At 37.3% G+C, this 25,926-nt stretch overlaps 1 annotated feature.

Annotated features, from left to right (window-relative positions):
* Positions 10,568–11,067: an enhancer, noted in NCBI's record as "H3K4me1 hESC enhancer chr4:65536617-65537116 (GRCh37/hg19 assembly coordinates)". NCBI's record gives its function as "activates a minimal SCP1, AML or CMV promoter by ChIP-STARR-seq in primed H9 embryonic stem cells {active_cell/tissue: H9 hESC(primed)}" and the evidence as "EXISTENCE:reporter gene assay evidence [ECO:0000049][PMID:30033119]".

The raw sequence follows: 25,926 nt of genomic DNA on the forward strand, positions 1-25,926 counted from the left end.
TTGATATACATAGATGATATAGATATGACCATCATAGCACAATGTGTGTCATTTTGGTTTTAGTCTTCATTTAAGATTTTCTTCATTACAAATGACATAGAATATGTTTCATATTTTTCATATTTCTCAGTATGTTTGTTACCCATTTGGATTTTCTCTTTTATAAAATTCTTACTCAAGTCTTTTGCATTTTTTTCTATTGAGTTCACTCTCTTTATATAATGATTTGTAGGTATTTGTTGATTCTGCACATAGATTCTCTAACTATTGTATGTATTGCAAATGTATTGTCTTGCAATTTGGCTTGTGTTTTGTTTTTCCAACTTTGATATGTTTTGATACACAAAAGTTTCATCTTAATTAAAAATGTATCAATCTATTTTTATATTTTGTGCATTTTATTGTCTTGTTTAATAATATATTCTATTTTAATTATGCCATCCATCATATGGATTTCAAAAAATGTTCTGAGGAATGTGTTCAAATTGTTTTTATTTCCTCCATATGCATATTCAATTCTCTCAATACTATTTACTGTGAAGACTGACAATGTTTTACTGTTCCACAGTTCTACCTTTTTCACAAACTTTATTTCACATATATGTTGGTCTGATTAGGTGCAGTTCTACTCCATTCTGCTATTCTATTTTTCTTGAATACTTGGGAGAGAAAAATATCTCACTTTGGATTTTCATAAATATTAGAAAATGTTTTCACTTTTTCAATCGTGACTAGATGTTGAACATCATCGGCAACTATGTCTCTTCATCCATTGTTATGACTGATGTTCCTCCTTAATTCTGCTCTACTCATCTGCAGTTCCTGAAACAATTAACTTGGTCAGGATATATGACCTCTGTCAACCATAGGGGATTCATTTTGCTAATCATTTGTTAACAAATTTTGCATTATGTCCATGAAAGAGTGGCCTTTTTTCTATTTTCCCTTAACTTTCTTGTTTTGATATAAAGTTTATGCTAACATCATAAAATAAGTTACTTAAGTACTTTAAAATAAGATACTAATTTTTTTTCTAGTCCCTGGAAGACGTTGCATAAATTTGATTATTAATTCCTGGAACGAATGTTTTTGCATGTCAAAAATATTTTAACTATAGATTTGATTCCTCCTTGCTGGTTTAGAGCAATTCAGTTTACTGGGGGTGGGGCGGGGGTTGCATCATGTGTATTCTCCTAAGCATTTAATTTTAAATACAATTACAATATTTTGGTATATAGTGTGTAAATTTTTTTATCTATATCTACATGAAATGTACCCATGTCAGATTGTCATTTCTGATATTTGACTTTTTGAGTCTTCTTTTTTGTTTTAATCAGTCTTTCCAGAAGTCTATCAATTCTTTTTTCTTTTTTTTTCCTGAGATAGAGTCTTGCTTTTTTTGCCCAGGCTGGAGTGCAATGGTGTGATCTCGGCTCACTACAACCTCTGCCTCCTGGGTTCTAGCAATTATTCTGTCCCAGCCTCCTGAGTAGCTGGGATTACAGGCGCCCACCACCACGCCCAGTTAACTTTTTGTATTTTTAGTAGAGACAAGGTTTCACCATGTTGATCAGGCTGGTCTCAAACTCCTTACCTCAGGTGATCTATCTGCCTTGGCCTCCCAAAGTGCTGGGATTACAGGCGTGAGCCACTGCACCCGGCCAATTCTCTTTTTTAATAACAACTTTTAACTCTGTTTATCCTCTAAAATGTTTTCTTCTATTTGCTTATCTTCTTCTGTTTTCCTTATAATTTAATTTTTGTCTGCATTCTTTTGTGATATTTTACTCTTTATCTTTTTGTAATATACGCATATGTCATATATTTTATCGCTTTTTTTACTAGTTGCATTTTAAGCTATAAATTTTTATTTAAATCCTGCACTCAAATTTTTATATACTGTTTATTATAATTTAATTTCAAATATTTTCTAACATGCATTGTCATTTTTTCATTGATTTATGAATTAATTTATTTTTTAATTTTTATTAGTAATTTTCTTGAGATGGGGTCTCACTCTGTTGCCCAGGCTAGAGTGTAGTGGCATGATCTCTGCTCGCTGAAATCTGCCTACCAGATTCAAGTAATCGTCCTGCCTCAGCCTCCCAAATAGCTGAGACCACAGGAACACACCACCAAACCCAGCTATTTTTTTTATTGTATTTTTGATAGAGATGTGGTTTCACCATGTTTCCAGGGTGGTCTCAAACTCCTGAGCTCAAGTGATCTGCACACTTCAGCCTCTCAAAATGTTGGGATTACAGGCATGAGCCGCCACACCTGGTTACATATGAATTAATTTAGAAATTTATTTCCAAATTCCAACTATATATAAACATTTTATACTTATGTTTGGTTATTTTATTGCATAGTTTTATGCAAGAAAAATTAACTACTTGAGTCTTGTTATAAGTAATTATTGCTAATTTGTCACCCATCTTTTCATCTACCCATGTATGGGAAAATGTGATATTTTTTAGGAAATAATTTTATTTATCTCCAAAAAAATCTTACTATAAGTGAGAGACTTGAAATTTTTAATGCCAATCATTTAATAAAAAGCCAAGAGGTAGCCTATGCAAGCCCTCATTTATTTGGGATTTACTTTTAAGCCCATCTCAAAGTAGTGATTAGATCACCTGGGTCCTCAATCTCGGCAGCCACAGATTCTTCTAGTTCTGAAAGGCTAACATAAGGACAACTTAAGCTGTCAGGGGCACCTCCAAGTTTCCCAGTGATTTGCTTTGCTCATACTTTTAAATACTAGAATCTCATACTGGTTGTTTTTGTCACATTTTAGCCTCTGTAACTATAGTCAGTAGAAAGGGATGGTCTAAATGACATAATCAACCATCATATAAAAAAAAGAAAATAAAGTCATTTTAATTATTCTCAATCAGGTATGATAGCCAGCAGATGACTTGCACATTTTTTGCTATGAATTCACAGAATATTCAAGTAAAATTTCTCTTTGCACTTTTACCTCAATTTTTTTTGCTAACTCATGAGTAGAAGCTAAAAGATGAAATCTTCCCAGAAATACTCATGTCTTTATAAGTGATACACATAATTTTAAAAAGTCGTAAATATGCAAAAATGTCCTCAACATCATTAGATTTTAGGGAAATGCAAAGTAAAATCATTGTAATATTACATACCAATAAAGTAACTAAAATAATAAGATTGATAATATACAATCTAGATTTATTGTGGAGAACCTGAAACTCTCAATTCTGCTGATAGGAATGTAAAATGATAAAAACCACTTTAGAACATAGTTTAGCACTCTCTTAGAGATTAAACATATAATGACCTTATAACCTAGAAATTTCCCTCTTAGGACAATTTTTTAATGCACTTTTGTAGAAAGACATATAGAAAAAGTATAAAAGATGGTTTATTGTTTAAGGATAGGGAGTGGTAATCAACTGGAAAATAGCAAGAAAAGACATTTTGGGGATGATGGAAATATCTTTTATGTTGATTGGTTTTCTAAGAGTTACACCAGTATATACTTGCAAAACTTATTCAAGTCTAGAATATATATTTTTTTCATTTCTTTTTTGTGGAGTAGGCACATTAAATCTCAATTTAAGGCATGAGAACTACGTGATGAATGCACAAGCCTCAGTAGCTGATTTGATCAACTGGAAGAAAGGGTATCAGTGATGGAAGATCAAATGAATAAAATGAAGTGAGAAGAGAAGTTTAGAGGAAAAAGAATAAAAAGAAATGAACAAAGCCTCCAAGAAATATGGGACTATGTGAAGAGACCAAATCTACATCTGATTGGTGTACCTGAAAGTGACGGGGAGAATGGAACCAAGTTGGAAAACACTCTGCAGGATATTATCCAGGTGAACTTCCCCAATCTAGCAAGGCAGGCCAACATTCAAATTCAGGAAATACAGAGAACGCCACAAAGATACTCCTCGAGAAGAGCAACTCCAAGACACATAATTGTCAGATTAACCAAAGTTGAAATGAAGGAAAAAATGTTAAGGGCAGCCAGAGAGAAAAGTCGGGTTACCCACAAAGGGAAGCCCATCAGACTAACAGCTGATCTCTCGGCAGAAACTCTACAAGCCAGAAGAGAGTGGGGGCCAACATTCTTAAAGAAAAGAATTTTCAACCCAGAATTTCATATCCAGCCAAACTAAGCTTCATAAGTGAAAGAGAAATAAAATCTTTTACAGACAAGCAAATGCTGAGAGATTTTGTCACCACCAGGCCTGCCCTAAAAGAGCTCCTGAAGGAAGCACTAAACATGGAAAGGAACATCCAGTACCAGCCACTGCAAAATCACGCCAAATTGTAAAGACCATTGAGGCTAGGAAGAAACTGCATCAACTAATGAGCAAAATAACCAGCTAACATCATAATGACAGGATCAAATTCACACATAGCAATATTAACCTTAAATGGAAATTGGATAAATGCTCCAGTTAAAAGACACAGACTGGCAAATTGGATAAAGAGTCAAGACCCATCAGTGTGCTGTATTCAGGAAACCCATCTCATGTGCAGAGACACACATAGGCTCAAAATAAAAAGATGGAGGAAGATCTACCAAGCAAATGGAAAACAAAAAAAGGCAGGGGTTGCAATCCTAGACTCTGATAAAACAGACTTTAAACCAATAAAGATCAAAAGAGACAAAGAAGGCCATTACATAATGGTAAAGGGATCAATTCAACAAGAGCTAACTATCTTAAATATATATGCACCCAATATAGGAGCAGCCAGATTCATAAAGCAAGCCCTTAGAGACCTAGAAAGAGACTTAGACTCCCACACAAGAATAATGGGAGACTTTAACACCCCACTGTCAACATAAGACAGATCAGTGAGACAGAAAGTTAACAAGGATATCCAGGAATTGAACTCAGCTCTGCACCAAGTGGACCTAATAGACATCTATCTCCACCCCAAATCAACAGAATATACATTCTTCTCAGCACCACACCACACTTATTTGAAAATTGACCACATAGTTGGAAGTAAAGCACTCCTCAGCAAATGTAAAAGAACAGAAATTATAACAAACTATCTCTCAGACCACAGTGCAATCAAACTAGAACTCAGGATTAAGAATCTCACTCAAAACCGCTCAACTACATGGAAACTGAACAACCTGCTCCTGAATGACTACTGGGTACATAACAAAATGAAGGCAGAAATAAAGATGTTCTTTGAAACCAATGAGAACAAAGACACAACACACCAGAATCTCTGGGGCACATTCAAAGCAGTGTGTAGAGGGAAATTTACAGCACTAAATAACCACAAGAGAAAGCAGGAAGGATCTAAAATTGACACCCTAACCTCACAATTAAAAGAACTAGAGAAGCAAGAGCAAACACATTCAAAAGCTAGCAGAAGGCAACAAATAACTAAGATCAGAGCAGAACTGAAGGAAATAGAGACACAAAAAACCCTTCAAAAAATCAATGAAACCAGGAGCTGGTTTTTTGAAAAGACCAACAAAGTTGATAGACCGCTAGCAACACTAATAAAGAAGAAAAGAGAGAAGAATCAAATAGATGCAATAAAAAATGATAAGGGGGATATCACCACTGATTCCACAGAAATACAAACTACCATCAGAGAATACTATAAACACCCCTACGCAAATAAATTAGAAAATCTAGAAGAAATGGATAAATTCCTCGACACATACACCCTCCCAAGACTAAACCAGGAAGAAGCTGAATCTCTGAATAGACCAATAACAGGCTCTGAAATTGAGGCAATCATTAATAGCTTACCAACCAAAAAAAGTCCGGGACCAGATGGATTCACAGCTGAATTCCACCAGAGGTACAAGGAGGAGCTGGTACTATTCCTTCTGAAACTATTCCAATCAATAGAAAAAGAGGGAATCCTCCCTAACTCATTTTATGAAGCCAGCATCATCCTGATACCAAAGCCTGGCAGAGACACAACAAAAAAACAATGAACTCAAACAAATTTACAAGAAAAAAACAAACAACCCCATCAACAAGTGGGCGAGGGATATGAACAGACACTTCTCAAAAGAAGACATTTATGCAGCCAAAAAACACATGAAAAAATGCTCATCATCACTGGCCATCAGAGAAATGCAAATCAAAACCACAATGAGATACCATCTCACAACAGTTAGAATGGCAATCATTAAAAAGTCAGGAAACAACAGGTGCTGGAGAGGATGTGGAGAAATAGGAACACTTTTACACTGTTGGTGGGACTGTAAACTAGTTCAACCATTGTGGAAGTCAGTGTGGCGATTCCTCAGGGATCTAGAACTGGAAATAACATTTGACCCAGCCATCTCATTACTGGGTATATACCCAAAGGACTATAAATCATGCTGCTATAAAGACACATGCACACGTATGTTTATTGCGGCATTATTCACAATAGCAAAGACTTGGAACCAACTCAAATGTCCAACAATGATAGACTGGATTAAGAAAATGTGGCACATATACACCATGGAATACTATGCAGCCATAAAAAATGATGAGTTCATGTCCTTTGTAGGGACATGGATGAAATTGGAAATCATCATTCTCAGTAAACTATCACAAGAACAAAAAACCAAACACCGCGTATTCTCACTCATAGGTGGGAATTGAACAATGAGATCACATGGACACAGGAAGGGGAATGTCACACTCTGGGGACTGTTGTGGGGTGGGGGGAGGGGGGAGGGATAGCATTGGGAGATATACCTAATGCTAGATGACGAGTTAGTGGGTGCAGCGCACCAGCATGGCACATGTATACATATGTAACTAACCTGCACAATGTGCACATGTACCCTAAAACTTAAAGTATAATAAAAAAAAAAAAGAACCACACACACAAAAAAAGAAGAGTCCTGCTTGCCGATCAGAAAAAAAAAAAGCAACAAAAAAACCCCAGAATTTTAGACCAATATCCCTGATGAACATCGATGCAAAAATCCTCAATAAAATACTGGCAAACCAAATCCAGCAGCACATCAAAAAGCTTATTCACCATGATTAAGTGGGCTTCATCCCTGGGATGCAAGGCTGGTTCAACATAAGCATATCAATAAACCTAATCCAGCATATAAACAGAACCAACGACAAAAACCATATGATTATGTCAATAGATGCAGAAAAGGCCTTTGACAAAATTCAACAACCCTTCATCCTAAAAACTCTCAATAAATTAGGTATCGATGAGACGTATCTCAAAATAATAAGAGCTATCTATGACAAACCCAAAGCCAATATTATACTGAATGGGCAAAAACTGGAAGCATTCCCTTTGAAAACTGGCACAAGACAGGGATGCCCTCTCTCACCACTCCTATTCAACATAGTGTTGGAAGTTCTGGCCAGGGCAATCAGGCAGGAGAATGAAATAAAGAGTATTCAATTAGGAAAAGAGGAAGTCAAATTGTCCCTGTTTGCAGATAACATGATTGTATATCTAGAAAACCCCATCATCTCAGCCCAAAATCTCCTTAAGCTGATAGGCAACTTCAGCAACATCTCAGGATACAAAATCAATGTGCAAAAATCACAAGCATTCTTATACACCAATAATAGACAAACAGAGAGCCAAATCATGAGTGAACTCCCATTCACAATTGCTTCAAAGAGAATAAAATACCTAGGAATCCATCTTACAAGGGATGTGAAGGACCTCTTCAAGGAGAACTACAAACCACTGCTCAAGGAAATAAAAGAGGATACAAACAAATGGAAGAATATTCCATGCTCATGGGTAGGAAGAATCAGTATCATGAAAATGGCCATACTGCCCAAGGTAATTTACAGATTCAATGCCATCCCCATCAAGCTACCAATGACTTTCTTCACAGAATTGGAAAAAACTACTTTAAAGTTCATATGGCACCAAAAAAGAGCCCGCATTGCCAAGTCAATCATAAGCCAAAAGAACAAAGCTGGAGGCATCATGCTACCTGACTTCAAACTATACTACAAGGCTACAGTAACCAAAACAGCATGGTACTGGTACCAAAACAGAGATATAGACCAATGGAACAGAAAAGAGCCCTCAGAAATAATGCCGCGTATCTACAACCATCTGATCTTTGACAAACCTGACAAAAACAAGCAATGGGGAAAGGATTCCCTATTTAATAAATGGTGCTGGGAAAACTGGCTAGCCATATGTAGAAAGCTGAAAATGGATCCCTCCCTTACACCTTATACAAAAATTAATTCAAGATGGATTAAAGACTTCAATATTAGACCTAAAACCATAAAAACCCTGGAAGGAAACCTAGGCAATACCAATCAGGACTTAGGCATGTGCAAGGACTTCATGTCTAAAACACCAAAAGCAATGACAACAAAAGCCAAAATTGACCAATGGGATCTAATTAAACTAAAGAGCTTCTGCACAGTAAAAGAAACCACCATCAGAGTCAACAGGCAACCTATAGAATGGGAGAAAATTTTTGCAATCTACTCATCTGACAAAGGGCTAATATCCAGAATCTACAATGAACTCAAACACATTTACAAGAAAAAAACAAACAACCCCATCAACAAGTGGGCGAAGGCTATGAACAGACACTTCCCAAAAGAAGACATTTATGCAGCCAAAAGACACATGAAAAAATGCTCTTCATCACTGGTCATCAGAGAAATGCAAATCAAAACCACAATGAGATACCATCTCACACCAGTTAGAATGGTGATCATTAAAAAGTCAGGAAACAACAGGTGCTGGAGAGGATGTGGAGAAATAGGAACACTTTTACACTGTTCGTGGGACTGTAAACTTGTTCAACCATTGTGGAAGTCAGTGTGGCGATTCCTCAGGTATCTAGAACTAGAAATACCATTTGACCCAGCAACCCCATTACTGGGTATATACCCAAAGGATTATAAATCATGCTGCTATAAAGACACATGCACACGTATGCTTATTGTGGCACTATTCACAATAGCAAAGACTTGGAACCAAGCGAAATGTCCAACAATGATAGACTGGATTAAGAAAATGTGGCACATATATACTATGGAATACTATGCATCCATAAAAAATGATGAGTTCATGTCTTTGGTGGGGACATGGATGAAGCTGGCAACCATCATTCTCAGCAAACTATTGCAAGGACAAAAAAGCCAAACACCACATGTTCTCACTCATAGGTGGGAATTGAACAATGAGAACACATGGACACAAGAAGGGCAACATCACACACTGGGGCCTGTTGTGGGGTGGGGGGAGGGGGGAGGGATAGCATTAGGAGATATACCTAATGTTAAATGACGAGTTAATGGGTGCAGCACACCAACATGGCACATGTATACATCTGTAACTAACTTGCACATTGTGCACATGTACCCTAAAACTTAAAGTATAATTAAAAAATAAAAAGTTACTTGGAAAATATTTGTGCACCTGAGTATTGCAAAATTCAATTTCACTCTAGCTTATTGCCATCACATTTTGCCTTATAATGTGACATTTGAGTGAATCTATTTTAATCCAAATATCAGGAAAGTTTTATTCATTCATTTATTTTGGTATAGATAGTCTGCATATTTAGTCTTTCAAGTGGACTTTCAAAATACATAGGTAAACAACGTCTAATTTATTACATTTGCCATAGTCCATATTGAAGATAAATTTGGGAAAGAAAATAACATAGTCAGGAATGATAACAACACCACAGTGTAAAGTAACCCAGAGATATAAACTATAGAATCAGTTTTAATTTTTTAAAGAACCTGTGTACTGTTTTCCGTAATGTCTACACCCATTTACATCCTCACCAATAGTGCACATGGTTCCCTTTTCTCCACATCCTTACCAATACTTCTTATCACTTGTCTTTGTGATAATAGACATTCTAACAGGAATCCGGTGATAACTATTGTGGTTTTGATTTGCATTTCTATGATCATTAGTGATGTTGAGTAAATTGTCATATACTTGGTCATTTTTTATGTCTTCTTTAACAAAACTCTTTTTTTTTTTTTCTTTGAGATGGAGTGTCACTCTGCCACCCAGGCTGGTGTGCAGTGGCGCGATCTCAGCTCACTGCAAGCTCTGCCTCCCAGGTTCACGCGATTCTCCTGCCTCAGCCTCCCAAATAGCTGGGACTACAGGCGCCCGCCACCACGCCTAGCTAATTTTTTGTATTTTTAGTAGAGACAGGGTTTCACCGTGTTAGGCAGGATGGTCTCAATGTGACCTCGTGATCCGGCCCCGTCAGCCTCCCAAAAGTGCTGGGATTACAGGCATGAGCCACTGCGCCCAGCCTAGTGATTTTTCTGCTTTGAATTCTGTGAGGTTTTAAAATGTATTTTGGATATTCACCTTTTATCAGATACACAGTTTGCAAATGTTTTCTCCAAATCGTTGGGCTGCTTTTTTATTGTTGTCACAGGATTTTTAGGGTGTCGCTTTGCCACCCTGAGTTTTGCTTGGGCCTGCTGGGCTCATTTTGTCCACTTGCCTTGGCAGGCTGCCCATGGCTCACATTACTGGCCTGGATCCCACACCGTCCATCAGCAAGCAAGGCATGGAGCAGCGAGTGGTGTGTGAAGGAACATAGCATCTGATCACTGTTCAAAGCCAGGCAAGCCAGCTGCAGCAGGACAGGCAGCTCCAAGTGTCAGCATGGGCACTGGCTCTCTGCAAGGCTGTGGCTCAACCAAGTGCACTGTAAGCAGCTTCCATGGTTGGCACGAAGGAACGTGGTGACACCTGGAAGCTTGGAGACCCCCAGGAACCACAGAGCCCTAAAAAGGGTGTGACAGTTCTGGCTTAGGGAGCTCCTAGGTCTGGGCTCCCCAGAGGGCCACAGCTCTTCTCTCCTTCTCTCTTCTCTCCTTCTTGTCTCCTGCAATGTGGCAAACAAGAGACATGTTTCAACTCTGTTTGTGTTATAGCTCTTTTAGCAACCCCATTTGGCAGGTCCCAAGTTATTGTCCTGCATCTTGAAAGACTAAGGTATGTGGACAAGTGCAAGGTGAACAAGGCAAAGAGGAGCTTTATTGAGTGACAGAACAGCTCAGAGGAGATCTGCATTGGGTAGCATCTCTCCCCAGGCAGGGTGACCCATTGTCTCCTCAGCTCTCAGCAGAGAGGAGACACTTAGAGTGTGTAGCTCCTCTCTGCAACTGACAGGTCATTGTTGTCTCAAGTCTGGCTGAGTGCAGGGCTTTTATGGGTCTCAGAGGGGAGGAAGTTCATGCTGATTGGTACTTGGGTGGCCATGGGTGGACTGAAAAAAAGCACCACAAATTTTCACACCAGTTCACAGTGCTGGCAGCCCTGCCCTCAGGCTTCAGGCCCTCCCCAACTTGAAGTTGAGGCTTCATTGGGGACATGCCTACTTCTGCCCAGGAGCCTTTCTGGCACCTGCTGCCATTTATGGTGCCCAGGCTGTTCATGCAAAGGGGCACCTGCAGGCCTGAGCCAAGGTGCCCTCAGCTGCCCCCCCTGCCAGCCTCCCTACTATACTTGATGACCAAAGTCTGGAGGGGGCCAAGGTGGCAAGGGCCTGGCATGTCAGTGCTGTCTGTAGTGTTTGCACAACAGGCCAGTCTACAATAGCACCCAGACTTGGCCCCAATCTTGTTCTGAGATTGTAGCAGGTGCTGAAGGTGGGAAGAGGCCAGGCAGCAGCAATAGGCCCCCTAGAGTGCACAGATGCCCAGGTCTGCAGCAGTGGCTTGGGTGGCTGCAGCTGCACCTGAGAGGGCAGGGCTCTTGCCTGCTTCTATCCTTTGCTGGCTTAACTTATATGATCACAAGGTCCCACAATAAGCCATTTGGAAGCTGAGAAGCAAGGAGAGCCAGTCTGAGTCCCAAAATTGAAAAACTTGGAGTCCGATATTTGAGGGCAGGAAACATCCAGCATGGGAGAAAGATGTAGGCTCGGAGGCTAGGCCAGTCTAGTCTTTTCACTTTTTTTTCTGTCTGCTTTATATTCTAGCTGTGCTGGCAGCTCATTGGATGGTGCCCAACCAGATTAAGGGTGGCTCTGACTTTCCCAGCCCACTGATTCAAATGTTAATCATCTCCTTTGGCAACACCCTCACAGACACAGCTAGGATCAATAATTTGCATCCTTCAATATAATCAAGTTGACACTCAGTATTAACCGTAACAAGTCCACCTCTTGTCAACTTGAACATGTACACATCTCCTGAGATCACACATAATATTTAAATAAAGACAATAATAAGGTCATAATTACAGCTAACCTAATATAATTACCCTTTGTACAACTGGAAACACACCAATTCCCAACACAAACACTATTACGTAAAGTTAACAATACTTACATGTTGATATGAAGTCAATAAATCTTACGCCACATGATAAAGGAAAAAGGAAATGAAATGAAGATATTTTATTTGTACAAGTGTATACATGCACAAACATGTTTTTAACAAAAGAAGGAGGAAATACTTATGACAATTACAGTCCGCATTTCTGCAGCTGGTCACGTGCTTGTAGCTGGTATTGACGACTACCTTTTACTACTACCCATTCTGTATTCCTTTTGCCTTTAGCAAGCACTTCAGCAGGCCGTGTTTTTTTTTCCTGGGGAAGTGTCCCAAACCTTCATTCCTGAAGGGTCTGGGCCCTTTGTAATCCTGCCTAGATTGGGCTGTTGTAGTTTCTCATTGACCTTAATCACAGGGGACGGTAAAACTAAGAGATGCTCTTAATGGGTTTCCTGTATTGCATGCATACTCTTCCTTACCTCCGTTGTTGAGTAGTAGACTGATTTCAACTTGATAGTCTGGGTCAATCATCCCAACCAACACTGTAATTCCTTTCTTAGCCTGTTGACTTAAAGGTAGGAGGAGCCCAAAGTGTCCAGATGACAATCTTAACTTGCAGTTTAATGGAATTGTTGTTGTGTCCGCTGGTGGCAGTGTTCCTCCCTCTGGAACTAAGACCTCTAGGCCTGCAGAACATAATGTCACGGGAACAGGAAGCAAAAATTTTGCTAGTGGATGACTAAGGGTGATGGTGGGTGATGTCACTTCCACTTCCACTCCTTGATTCCTGGACCCATGAATCTGGCTATGGGAAAAACAGTATCATATATTGGACACTGATTCAGAGCACACATGACCTTCTGTAGAACTTTGTCCCAGCCCTGCAAAGTACTGTCACCTAGTTGGCATTGTAATTGTGACTTCAAAAGGCCATTCCACCATTCTATCAACCAGCTGCTTCAGATGATGAGGAACATGGTAAGATCAGTGAATTCCATGAGCATGAGCCCACTGCCACACTTCTTTATCCATAAAGTGAGTTCCTTGGTCAGAGGCAATGCTGTGTGGAATACCATAATGGTGGATAAGGCATTCTGTGAGTTCATGGATGGTATTCTTGGCAGAAGCACTGTGTGCAGGATAGGTAAACCCATATCTGGAATGTCTATTCCAGTGAGGACAAGCCTCTGTCCTTTCCATGTTGGAAGAGGTCCAATATAATCAACCTGCCACCAGGTAGCTGGCTGATCACCCTGAGGAATGGTGCCATATCCAGATCTCAGTGTTTGTGGGCATTCAGCAGTGGCTGTAGCCAGGTCAGCCTTGGTGAGTGGAAGTCTATGTTGCTGAGCCCATGTGTAACCTGCATCTCTGACACCATGGCCACTTTGTTCATGGGCCCATTGGGCAATGACATGGGTGGCTGGGGAGAGAGGCTGAGGGGTGTTCACAGAACAGGTCTTCTTATCCATTTAATTATTAAAATCCTCCTTTGCTGAGGTCACCCGTTGGTGAGCACTCACATGGGATACAAATACTTTTATAGTTTTTGACCACTAGAAGAAGTCTATCTACATACCTCTTCCATAAATTTATTTGTCACCAATTTTCCAATCATGTTTCTTCCAAATCCCTGCCTATACAGCCAAACCATTGGCCACCACACACGAATCAGTATACAATCGCCCATCTGGCCATTTCTCCTTCCATGCAAAGTCCACAACTGGGTGCACTGCTCAAAGTTCGGCTCACTGGGAAGATTTTCCTTCACTGCTCTCCTTCAGGGATATCCTAGAAAGGGGCTGTAGTGCTGCAGCTGTCCACTTTTGGGTGGTGCCTGCATATCGTCAGAACCATCTGTGAACCAGGCCCCACTCTACTCTCCCTCTGTCAGCTGATCATAGGGAATTCCCCGAAGCCGTCAGTTCAGGCTGGGAGAGAGAAGTCAAGATGGCAGGAGTAGAGACCATAGGCATTTGAGCCACTTCCTCATGTAACTTACTTGTGCCTTTGGGACCTGCTCGAGCCCAATCATGTATATACCACTTCCATTTGATGATGGAATGCTGCTGTGCATGACCCCTTTATGGCTAGATGGTTCAGAAACCACCCAGTTCATGATGGGAAGTTCAGGTTGCATGGTGACTTGATGACCGATAGTCAAGCATTCAGTTTCTACCAAAGCCCAGTAACAGGCCAAGAGCTGTCTCTCAAAAGAAGAGTAATTATCTGCAGGAAATGGCAGGGCCTTGCTTCAAAATCCTAAAGGCCTCCTCTGTGATTCACCTATGGGGGCCTGCCAAAGGCTCCAATCAGCATCCCTATCTGCCACTGACACCTCAAGCACCATTGGATCTGTTGGGTCATATGGCCCAAGTGACAGAGAAGCTTGCACAGCAGCCTGGACCTGCTGCAGAGCCTTCTCCTGTTCTGAACCCCACAGAAAACTGGCAGCCTTTTGCATCACTTGATAAATGGGCTGGAGTAACACAACCAAATAAGGAATGTGTTGCCTCCAAAATCCAAATAGGCCCACTAAACATTGTACTTCTTTCTTGGTTGTAGGAGGGGCCAAAAGCAGCAACTTATCCTTTTTACCTTAGACGGAATATCTCGACAGGCCCCACACCATTGGACTGCTAAAAATTTTACTGAGGTAGAAGATCCCTGAATTTTAGTTAGATGTATTTTCCATCCTCTGGCATGCAAATATCTCACCAATAAGTCCAGTGTGTTTGCTACTTCTTGCTCACTGGACCCAATCAGCATAATGTCATCAATGTAACGGACCAGGGTGATATCTTCTGGAAGCAAAAAGCGTTCAGTCTCTCCAAATAAGATTATGACACAAAGCCAGAGAGTTGATATACTCCTGAGGTAGGACAGCAAAGTCATATTGCTGGCCCTGGCAGCTGAAGGTAAATTGCTTCTGCTGGGTGTAATGGACAGGAATTGAGTAAAGGGCATTTTCCAAGTCAGTGGCTGCATAACAGGTACCAGGAGATGTGTTAATTTGCTCAAGCAATGAAACCATATCTGGTACAGCAGCTGCAATTTCAGTAACCACTTGGTTAAGCTTAAAATAATCCACTGTCATTCTCCAAGATCCATCTGTCTTCTGCACAGGCCAAATGGTAGAGTTGAACAGGGGTGTGTTGGGAATCACCACTGCTGTGTCTTTCAAATCCTTGATGGTGGTACTAATCTCCACAATCCCTCTAGGGATGTAATATTGTTTATGATTTACTATTTATCTAGGTAGAGGCAGCTCTAATGGCTTCCGTTTGGCCTTTCCCACCATAATAGCCCTCACGCTACCAATCAAAGAGCCAATGTGGGGGTTCTGCCAGCTGCTAAGTATGTCTATGCCTATTATGCATTCTGGCACTGGGGAAATGACCATAGGATGAGTCCAGAAACCCACTGGACCCACTGTAGGGTTAGGCCTGAGCTAATATTACATTAATTACCTGACCTCCATAAGTCCCTACTTTAATTGGAGGACCACAATGACATTTTGGGTCCCCTGGAATTAATGTCAGCTCAGAGCCAGTGTCCAGTAGTCCTCAAAATGTCTCATCACTTTCCTTTCCCCAATGCACAGTTACCTTGGTAAAATGTTGGAGGTAACCTTGGGAAAAGCTGGGAGAAAGATTAAGTGCATAAATTTGTGGTAGTGTAGTGGGGTCCCTCCTCAAGTGGACCCTGCCTGACAGGGGCCTGGGTCTGTAAAGTGGCTCAAGTCTGGAAATAGATTGATGGGTCGTGAATCTCTGTTTTTATAATTCAAATTAGTCTTTTGTCCATTTGACCTAGAAGTTATCTGCTTTTATATAAATTAAGTAGGAATGCAGTAGGCTTCCTATCAATGTCACTTCTAGGAACACCATGATTAATTTGGCCAATTCCAGAGCTCTACATGAGTTGGGATTATTCTGATTGCTTCTTTGCTTCTGTGTGCTGCCATTATGTTAGCTACACCCACCTTGCTTTTGGTGGTTGAGTGCTGCCAGTTGACTCTTTCCACCCCAGGATCCAATTATTCCCATTGTATTTAAATTTTGTAGTTGAGTGACTGTGGTTCCCACTGTTAGATCTGACAGACAGAGAAAAGCAATTACAGGGTTCTTCAAAAATGCAGGTGCTGCCCTCACAAATCTATTTTACAAAGCATTGGTTGAGGGCATATCTTCTGGACCCTCCCAGCTGGGATGAATAGATCTAAAGTGACTAATCCTCTCCATTATCCCAATCTTCCTAAGTCTTTGAATCTCTTCCTCTACATTAAACCAACGGAGATCAGGCATTTCCAGGTAACTCGTGTTGGGCCATCTTTTAATCCATAGTTCAGCTAACCAAGCAAATAAAATATTAGAAACTTTTTTACCTCCCCAAGCTGCAAAATTAAATGTAGGGTCTCTACTTAGTGGGCCCAAATCAATAAATTCAGGCTGATCCAACTCTATGTTCCTTCCACCATTATCCTACACCCTTAATATCCATTCCCATGCCTGTTCTCCAGATTTCTGCTCATATAAATTAGAAAACTCAAGCTGTTCTTTTCAAATGTAGTACACCTACTGATGGTTCACACTCTCCACCTCACCTCTAGGGGCCTGTTGGGACTTTAATTTAGTTACAGGCCTCGAAGCAAACAGGGGTGTCAGGGGTAGCTCCTGAGGAGAATCAACATTATCTTGACTTCTAACTGCCTCATAGGAGGCCAACACTGTTGCTTCAGGCAGCACAGAGTTTATATCCTCAGACAAAGGTGGAAACGCTGATGGCAGCATGGGTCAAGAAGGAGGAGATCTTGCCACCACTGGGGATAGGGAATCTTTCTTCTGGCAAAAAAATAAAAAATAAAAAAGATTCATCAGAGTTTACAAACGTAGTATACTCAGCTTCATCAGGTCCTCCCACACATCGCCATTCCAAGTTGCAGGGTCCCATTCTTTTCCAATCAACGTCTTCACTTTAAGAGTTGACACCTGGCAACACTGTGCATGCACCTTTCATTGCAGGTCGGCCACTCACATAATAAGAGCTTGTGTCTATTTTTCCCCAATTTCAGCTTTTTCTATACAGGAGATAAAACTCTTACTCAGGACAATCTTAGCAAATTTGAGGCTCAGTATCTGCTTCTGACACCAGAAGACAGAATCCCTGAATTCATCATTTTCTTTCATTACTTTGTCCACTGAACTTAGGAGCAACCAACCAGCTTCATTACGTTCCTTGTTTCTCCACATATGGTCAAAGTTATTATGTATAGAGTCATTAAACCTGTTGCTTCTCATGAGCGGTGAATTGGGAGTGTGAAATGCATTTATTTTGCTTAATTCTCTAAACAGTTCATGCCAAGGACTATCAGTGTTCTCCATACTATTAAAAGTAGAGTCCTCGGAATTTTTGGGTCTAATCATATTAGACAGCCAACTCCAGAAACCCTAAAACCAACTATAGAACTCCATCCTTAATATTCTGTTCCTCTAGAACCACTCTTGGTACCAAAATCTGTATTAGTCAGGGTTATCTAGTGGAAAGGGACTAATAAAAAAATATATAAATATATATATATATATGAGTTTATTAAGGATTAACTCACACAAAGACAAAGTCACACAATAGGCTGTCTGCAAGCTGAGGAGCAAGGAGAGCCAGTTCGAGTCCCAAAACTGATGAACTTGGAGTCTGATGTTCAAAGGCAGGAGGCATTCAGCATGGGAGAAAGATGTAGGCTAGGAGGCTAGGCCAGTCTAGTCTTTTCACATTTTTCTGCCTGCTTTATGTTCCAGCTGCATTGGCCACTGATTAGATGGACCCCACCCATATTAAGGGTTGGTCTGCCTTTCTTAGTGCATTGACCCAAATGTTCACCTCCTTTGGCAACAACCTCACCAACACATCCAAGATCAATACTTTGTATCCTTCAATCCAATTAGGTTGACACTGAATAGTAACCATCACAATAATGAATGTGACAATTTGCTTATTTGCTTAACAGGAAGAATTATATATATAATTATAATGGAAGTTTTATCTATATTAATATATATTTTTATTTATATAAATTATACATTATATAATTTAGAAATATACATATCTACTTCCAAATTATATGTATTTTTATACTTCCAAATGATATGTATAATTACATAATAATTATATCAATATATAATTATACATAATATACAAATTATATACCAAAAAATTGTATGCAAATTATATATGTTTGAAAACATCATGTTGTATATCTTCAATATATACAATGTAAATTAAAATTAAAAACATAAAGCACTAGGCCAAGCATGGCGACTCACACCTGTAATCCTAGCACTTTGGGAGGCCAAGGCGGGTGGATCACGAGGTCAGGAGATCGAGACCATCCTGGCTAACATGGTGAAACCCCGTCTCTCCTAAAAATACCAAAAATTAGCCAGGCCTGGCGGCGTGCGTCTATAGTCCCAGCTACTCAGGAGGCTGAGGCAGGAGAATGGCATGAACCTGGGAGGCGGAGCTTGCAGTGAACCGAGATTGCACCACTGCACTCCAGCGTGGTAGACAGAGCGAGACTCCGTCTCAAAAACAAACAAACAAAAAAATAAAGCACTAAAACAAAAACAAAAATAAATGTAAATGTTTGGTTATTTCCTTGGCTATGTGAACAACAATCTACTAATAGAGAAAAGTTGAGGCTTCTTAAATATTCTAGAACCTCTATCTTATAAATTTATTTTTACATATTTAACTTGTGTTCAAACAGTATTAAACTTGGATCTCTTTTATAAAACAAACAATCCATTTTATTTTATAAATTTAGTTCATAATGAAACTATAATTTTATCAGTGAACCCATAGATATTTTGATGTAGTTAAAATGTTTTCATCATCATTTGTATAAATGTTTGGTGCTGTGAATATTCATTGTTGATATAGTACAGAACTCTTGTAAGTACCAAAGGCATTGCTAGTTTTAAGGGAAAAACACAACTAGCAGAAAATACAGGTCTTCAATTTGCAAGTATTTTTTGAAAGCTAATTTACTAGCTTAACTTGAATTTTTTAAAGTTAGGTCAGAATAAATTTATTCATTGAATTAAGATTATTTTATTTTCCATATAATTTTATTAGAAAACTTTTTTTTTGCCTACATGTAGGGCTGAATCCAGAATTTTAAAATCTTTCCTGAAAGTGTCATTAAATCACATTAATTAAAAATGCAGAAGGCATTTTTCCAGGTTCCTAATTTGTTGAATCATTCTAACAAAAGTAATGAATTATACTACTACACATTAAATAATTCTGTTTACCTTTTCATGAATGTATCTATTACTCTTAAAATATTAATTTAATATATGAAGTGTCATTTTAACTGCATGATTTCAGAACCACAGTGTAATATTAATTTAGATATCAAACATCTATTTTAAAAATGCATAGAACTCTGTATTTAAAAATAAATATTTTATTTAATAGAAACTCAGAATGCTGCAGTATATATGGTACCAGATGAAGGTTTAATAAATCCTTTCAATTATTTATTAACTTAAACTCCTCAACTTTGGAAGAGTAATATAAATTGATTAAGTGTTTTGCTGGTTATACTGGGAAAACTACATATATATTTAGAAATGTATCTATTATATTTGTCCTAAAATGTTGATCAGAATTATTGTGCTACTAAATATATATATGTGATATGCATGTTAGAAACTGGCTCAGAAAAAAAGTTACTTTTCCATCTAAACTTGTATTAAGTTACTTGTTTTATCTTTTAAAATGACCAGACCTTGGGCTTCTTAAAATCCATTGCACATATTTTAGCTTAGCCACCTACCTAACTCTACCCAGATTCTTTGTACTTTCATTGTTGTGAAACTACTATAATCATTCTCAAATTATTATTATTATTAATTATTATTATTTCTTGAGACAGAGTCTCATTCTATCACCGAGGCTGGAGTGCAGAGGCTTGATCTCGGCTCACTGCAAACTCCACCTTCCTGGTTCAAGCGATTCTCCTGCCTGAACCTCCCAAGTAGCTGGGATTATGGGCATGGGCCACCACACCCAGACAGTTTTTGTATTTTAGTAGAGACAGGGTTTCACTATGTTAGCCAGGCAGGTCTCAAACTCATGGCCTTAAATGATTCACCCACCTTGGCCTCCCAAATTGCTGAAATTACAGGTATTAGCCACCACACTGGGCGAATGATTATTAAATTGTTAAGTACTTGATATTACTCTGGAATGAGGTGATTCTTGACAAATGTTTTACATCTTCCAGAATTAGTCAAAAAAGCTAGAGATCATTTGCACAAAGAGGTATGAGAGAAAAATGGAGCATTCAAGGAATTGAATAGTATATGTGCATAGCACTTCTGTGTGTATGTGTGTGTGTGTATGTTTGTGTTATTTTATCATTATGTGGGTGTTAGCACATATGACTGATGGATAATTAAATGAGTGAGGGAATCAGTAGCATTGGGGTTGCTAGAATACTTAAAGTTGGGAGAGATTTGTAAATATAGGAAAAAGCCCTGGAGTGGTGTCATCCATGGCTCACTTCAGAAAATGAGTATTTTTAATGGAAATAGAGAACAGATGTTGAAGTTAAGATATATTTAAGAGACCAAAATAAAATAATTTTCTAATTGTTTGGATATGAGAAGACAAGGAGTAGAGTGTAGAATGAACTTCAGTTTTCTGGTTTGCATGAATGCATGACAGGGGAAACAAAACAAGTGTGATGTAGGAGAAAGATGAAGAACTTGATGATGGACGTAGGGAATTAGCAACATCTCAAATGAAAAACTAAGGATAGAAGGTAGCCCCTACAAATTGGCTCCACTTCCTCAGTTTATATTTTTCTTTGGCAGAGTACAGACTGATACCCTATCCAACTATTTTAGTGAAACCATAAATGCTAAGGGCAACCAAGATATCAAACCCACCAAATAACAATAAGAATACTGATGGTTGTAGAAATAACCCAAATATACATTTTTAGGCTTGATAAAAAGTTACAAAAATCACAGTACCCATAGAAGGAACAAAATAAATAGGTTTTCAACATGATTTGTTTGTACTTACCATGTATGAATGACAGGAAATCACTCTTTATGTTCTTTTCAGGTTGGTGAGAGCTTGGTTTTAAAAGAGAAGTTAGAACACTAAGAGTTTCAAAAATTCAGTAGGCAAAATTATGTAAACGCTAAAACTACATATTATCCTTTTTCTAATGATTTTTTACCGTTCAGTTTATATATTAAGTATAGTTTGAGAGACATGTAGAATTACAACAGCTTTGCATATTTCATTTAGATAGATTTTGTAAGCTTTCATTTCAAATCACTGCATTGAATCAAAGTAATTCATATCGAATTTTGTTCAAATCATATTTATAGTTTGAATAATATTTTATTAGGCATCATTGCTAGAAGTAAAAACAGTTTGGAAAAGCATAAAGACAAAGAAGGATATATTGAGGGTTTATATGGTATATTTTGAATTCTGCTAAATATTTGTTTTGAGATTGTTTAATTGAAGTTTAGACAAACTGTTGAGGAAGAGAAATATGATTTTAATTTTGAGTTTTGTATTGATCATATTTTTTGAAGATAACCAGTCTTTAAGAGCCTGCTCATAGCCTAAGTTTGATATAAATGGGGAATTATATATGCATATAAAAAGTTTTTTTAAACAGTACCATAATGTAGAATAAAAATAAAGACCATTGAGTCTCAAATATTTCAAAATTGGAAAATCTTCCTAGTTTAATTAAATTTGTGAAACTAAGTATTTCTTGCATAATTACTATTAAAGGTGAGTTAATTCAAATTAATTTTGTTGTAGATTTAGAACACTCCCATGATCCGATGAGTGCTAAAAATATTTAAAAACTGACATGACACAGGATCGCCTAACAATTCAGAAGAGATGACAGAGAATACCAACTCAAATTAACAAATACACAAGCGAAAGAAATTTGGAAAAAACATAATTTGTAATTCCAAGTTGCCTTCTTTTTATTGGTACACCAGAACAATGCAATTTAGTGAAGCTTGAAAAGAAAAATGATGTGTCATTATGTGTCAAGACCAAGAGTTTTATTGCTCTAAGTTTATAAAGCACGATAACATAAATTCTTTGTGGTGACTGGCATAACTGTTTCCATTTTCCTTAATCACAATCTTATTCTTATCTGACCATATTATCTAATTTAAATAAGAAGATTTAGAGAAATATTGTAAACTTTTCTGTTAACAATTTCAAATTGTTTCCAGCCGCCAAAATTAAAATAATAAACTGATTTTTACGTCAAATAATTATATAGTCCCTACAACAACTGTTCAAGACAGGTTTCATTTTCCCTGTTTTATAAAGAGGACACAAAATCATAGAGAGGTTAAGCCGATCACTCATGGTCTCATAGCTAAAGGGTTTTAAACCACTTGTGACCCAGGACTATCTATCTCCATAGTTAGTATACTCTGCTCTGCTTCACAATGCACGACACTGTGGAGAGGCTTTGGGCTAGTGCTCAAAGACCTGGGGAAAAAAAAAATCCAGCTTTCTAACTTGAATAACTTTTTATATGTTACCAGACTTCTCTGGAACTGGGTTTCTCTGTCTAGGTAATTATAGCACTGACTCATAGGGTTCCAGTAAAAATGAAATAAAATTGCCGTAGGCATTCAGTAAATGTGAGTTTCATCTGAGTTACAAGGGCGAACATTACAATAATTTTACTTCATGTTTAAAATATTTTAAGGGTATAATAAAGTTAATCATTTCCAGTGTCTCTGTGATTAATAAAATTTCTCAGGTAATCTCTCCTAATATTTTATTTTATGAATAACAACTGGGTTTATAGGTTGAATCAACAAGGCAACTCAGAAGGAGGGCATAAAGATTGCAAAAATATTAACAGAGACCTATTCAGTACCTTGGGCAATGGAGTCGCTGTCTTCTAAGTGATATGAGTTTTTAAAGTGGCTCAGAAATGGCCCAGAGGCTGCCGGGAGCTACTTAATCCTGTATTCTGCTTCCCCATCTGGTAGTCTCCCTCTGCAGAGCCGTTGTACTTTCTGATGCTATGACATGTAAGATTAAGGGTAATCTTACAGAAATATAAGATACAGATGATATGAATATATCTTATGATGTATATTTATAACATATATTCTTGATATATGACATATTCTTTATCTATGACATATATTTTTCATATACAAATACATATAAATTCAGATTTATGTGGATGAACCATTTATATAATATACTTAATAAATCAAATTATCAGCCAACTAAGTCAAATTCAGAAAAGATAACAAAGTTTTCTTTAACTATAATTGTTTTTACTCAACTAAGATGACTTGAGTAATTATCTTGCTCTCTACTTTTCCATTATTTTTGCTTTACTCTATGCATAAGACAACTCTACCAGATAATTTCCAACAACCATATCCATAATACTTGCATAGAGGTATTATGGCTTCAGTATGTTATGCTTCTTTTGCCTGTTTCAGTGGTACAGTACATTGGCAAATTGCCTTTAACCCAAAGACCTCAATTTGCATAATAATGTGCATAAAGGTTCTAATGAAAAATAAAATCAATTCTGAAATTAATTTGCATCTTCATGATAAATTAGAAAAATTACATGGTAGATGTATACCCCAACAATTAGGACTGTCATTTGGTCAGCATTTTATTTGCTTTATTTTCCCAGGGGATAATTAATATGACTAGGGAAAAGGGGACAATTGGTTAAGTACCAACAAGAATCATTAATATCTTAAAAACCTCACAACATCACTAACAAATAGAACTGAAATTTTAAAATTATGTTATTAACTTCTCTGTACATATAATAAAAACATATTCAGAAATTGATATTACTCTTTTGTACTGAATAAATTTTGTTCAAAAATGGAATAATATTCCATTTCCATTGTATATACATGTTTATATACTTGTATAATAAACAAGGAAGAATAAAGGAAAAGTCACTGCTTTTTAACAGCTTTACTTAGGTTAAAAGATATCTCTAGTAATTAATGATGTCTCCAATTTATAAGCTAAAATTTTAACTATATATTAAAATTCTTCATTAATAAATATTTGTTTTCTCTATTTATATTTAGATGTCAAACCACTGATCTTTCTATAGCTTTATATCTCCAAGTGAATACAGCACACACATAAAATATATTATTAAAGATAATTTTAATTTGGTCCCTTTTATCATGGCAAAGAAGCATATACTGTAAAATTTCTTATTAAGCTAGTGAGACTATTTAATATCCACTTCCTCATTTGTTGTTTTTAAGATTTGAAAATATTCAGAATGAACAACATTTCATAAATCCTCTAGGCAGGATATTTTATATAATCATTTTTATAGAATGACTTTGGGCTTTTTATATTCCATTTCTTCAATTATTTTGTGGAAAATGAATTATACGACTATAGTTTAAGTGATGTTTTTGTTGATTGAAGCAATCTTATTGATAATTTAGTCAAAATAAGAAGAATTTTTGATCATATAATTACAAAATCTCATTCTTAGGAGTACTTTTTAATTTGGCCAAATGAGCTCACAATTTTAATGACCAGAAAATGTATAAAGATTGAGAAAAGCAATATCAGATAGAATACAATCATTAAAAAAATTATATTCTATCTGAATGTAAAATTAAATTAATTTAAAGTGAGCTAAAATTAAATTATAAATATATAAATACTAACATTTTAAATTAGTGAATATGAATACTAGCATATTTTAAATAATTCTTTCGAGTATTAAAGCCCATATGAGAGGAGGAATTGAATTAACAGCAAGCCACTTGTGAAGAAAAATTTTAGTCAAAAGTGTGACATGGAATTTACCAAATAATGATGATAATTTTTTAAAATTATCTATACCACCTCCAAAAACTACCTCATACTATGTGATATTTTGTATGAAAAGAAAATAGAATTCAGATTGGAGAATGCTATAAAAAATTATGGAGGCACTGGGGTATAGAGGTTAAGAGAAAATACTCTGGAGCCAAATGGTCCAGATTTAAATTACATAGCTCTGCCGTGAGCTAGGCAAGCAACTTTGGAAGGTTTGGCTACTCTGTCTGGGCCTCATAATTATCATCCGTAAAATGGAAAATAATAATATCATATATACTTACTTTATACAGTTACTGTGAAGATTAAATGAATTAATACATCTAAAACACTCAGAAAGTTGTCTGGAAGAGATTAAACACTATATATGTAATTTGCCATGAAGACAGTGGCTACCAGTAGAACAGTGTAAAGAACACTGAAGTAAGAACAGGAACCCTGGTTTCTGGTCCTAGCTCTCTAAGTGAGACAGGGTTGTAGAGCCATAAGAAAGTACTGTCATTACACTGATTCTCTTGTCTTTAAAATGAATGAGTTCAAATATGTCAGTGATTCTCAACCCTGAATATAAGTAGAACTTTTATGGCTTCTTAAAATTAAGTACATATATATATTTATGTATATAATATTATACACACACACAGACATGCACACGGGCCATTAAACATATATATAATCAAGAAAACAAAACTCCTGGTTTGGGTCAAGATATCAGATGTTTTAAGAACTCTTAGTGATTCTAAAGAGTATTCAAGATTTTTAACATAACCAAGATGAT

This window comes from Homo sapiens, chromosome 4, assembly GCF_000001405.40.
Source record: "Homo sapiens chromosome 4, GRCh38.p14 Primary Assembly".
NCBI lineage: Eukaryota > Metazoa > Chordata > Mammalia > Primates > Hominidae > Homo > Homo sapiens.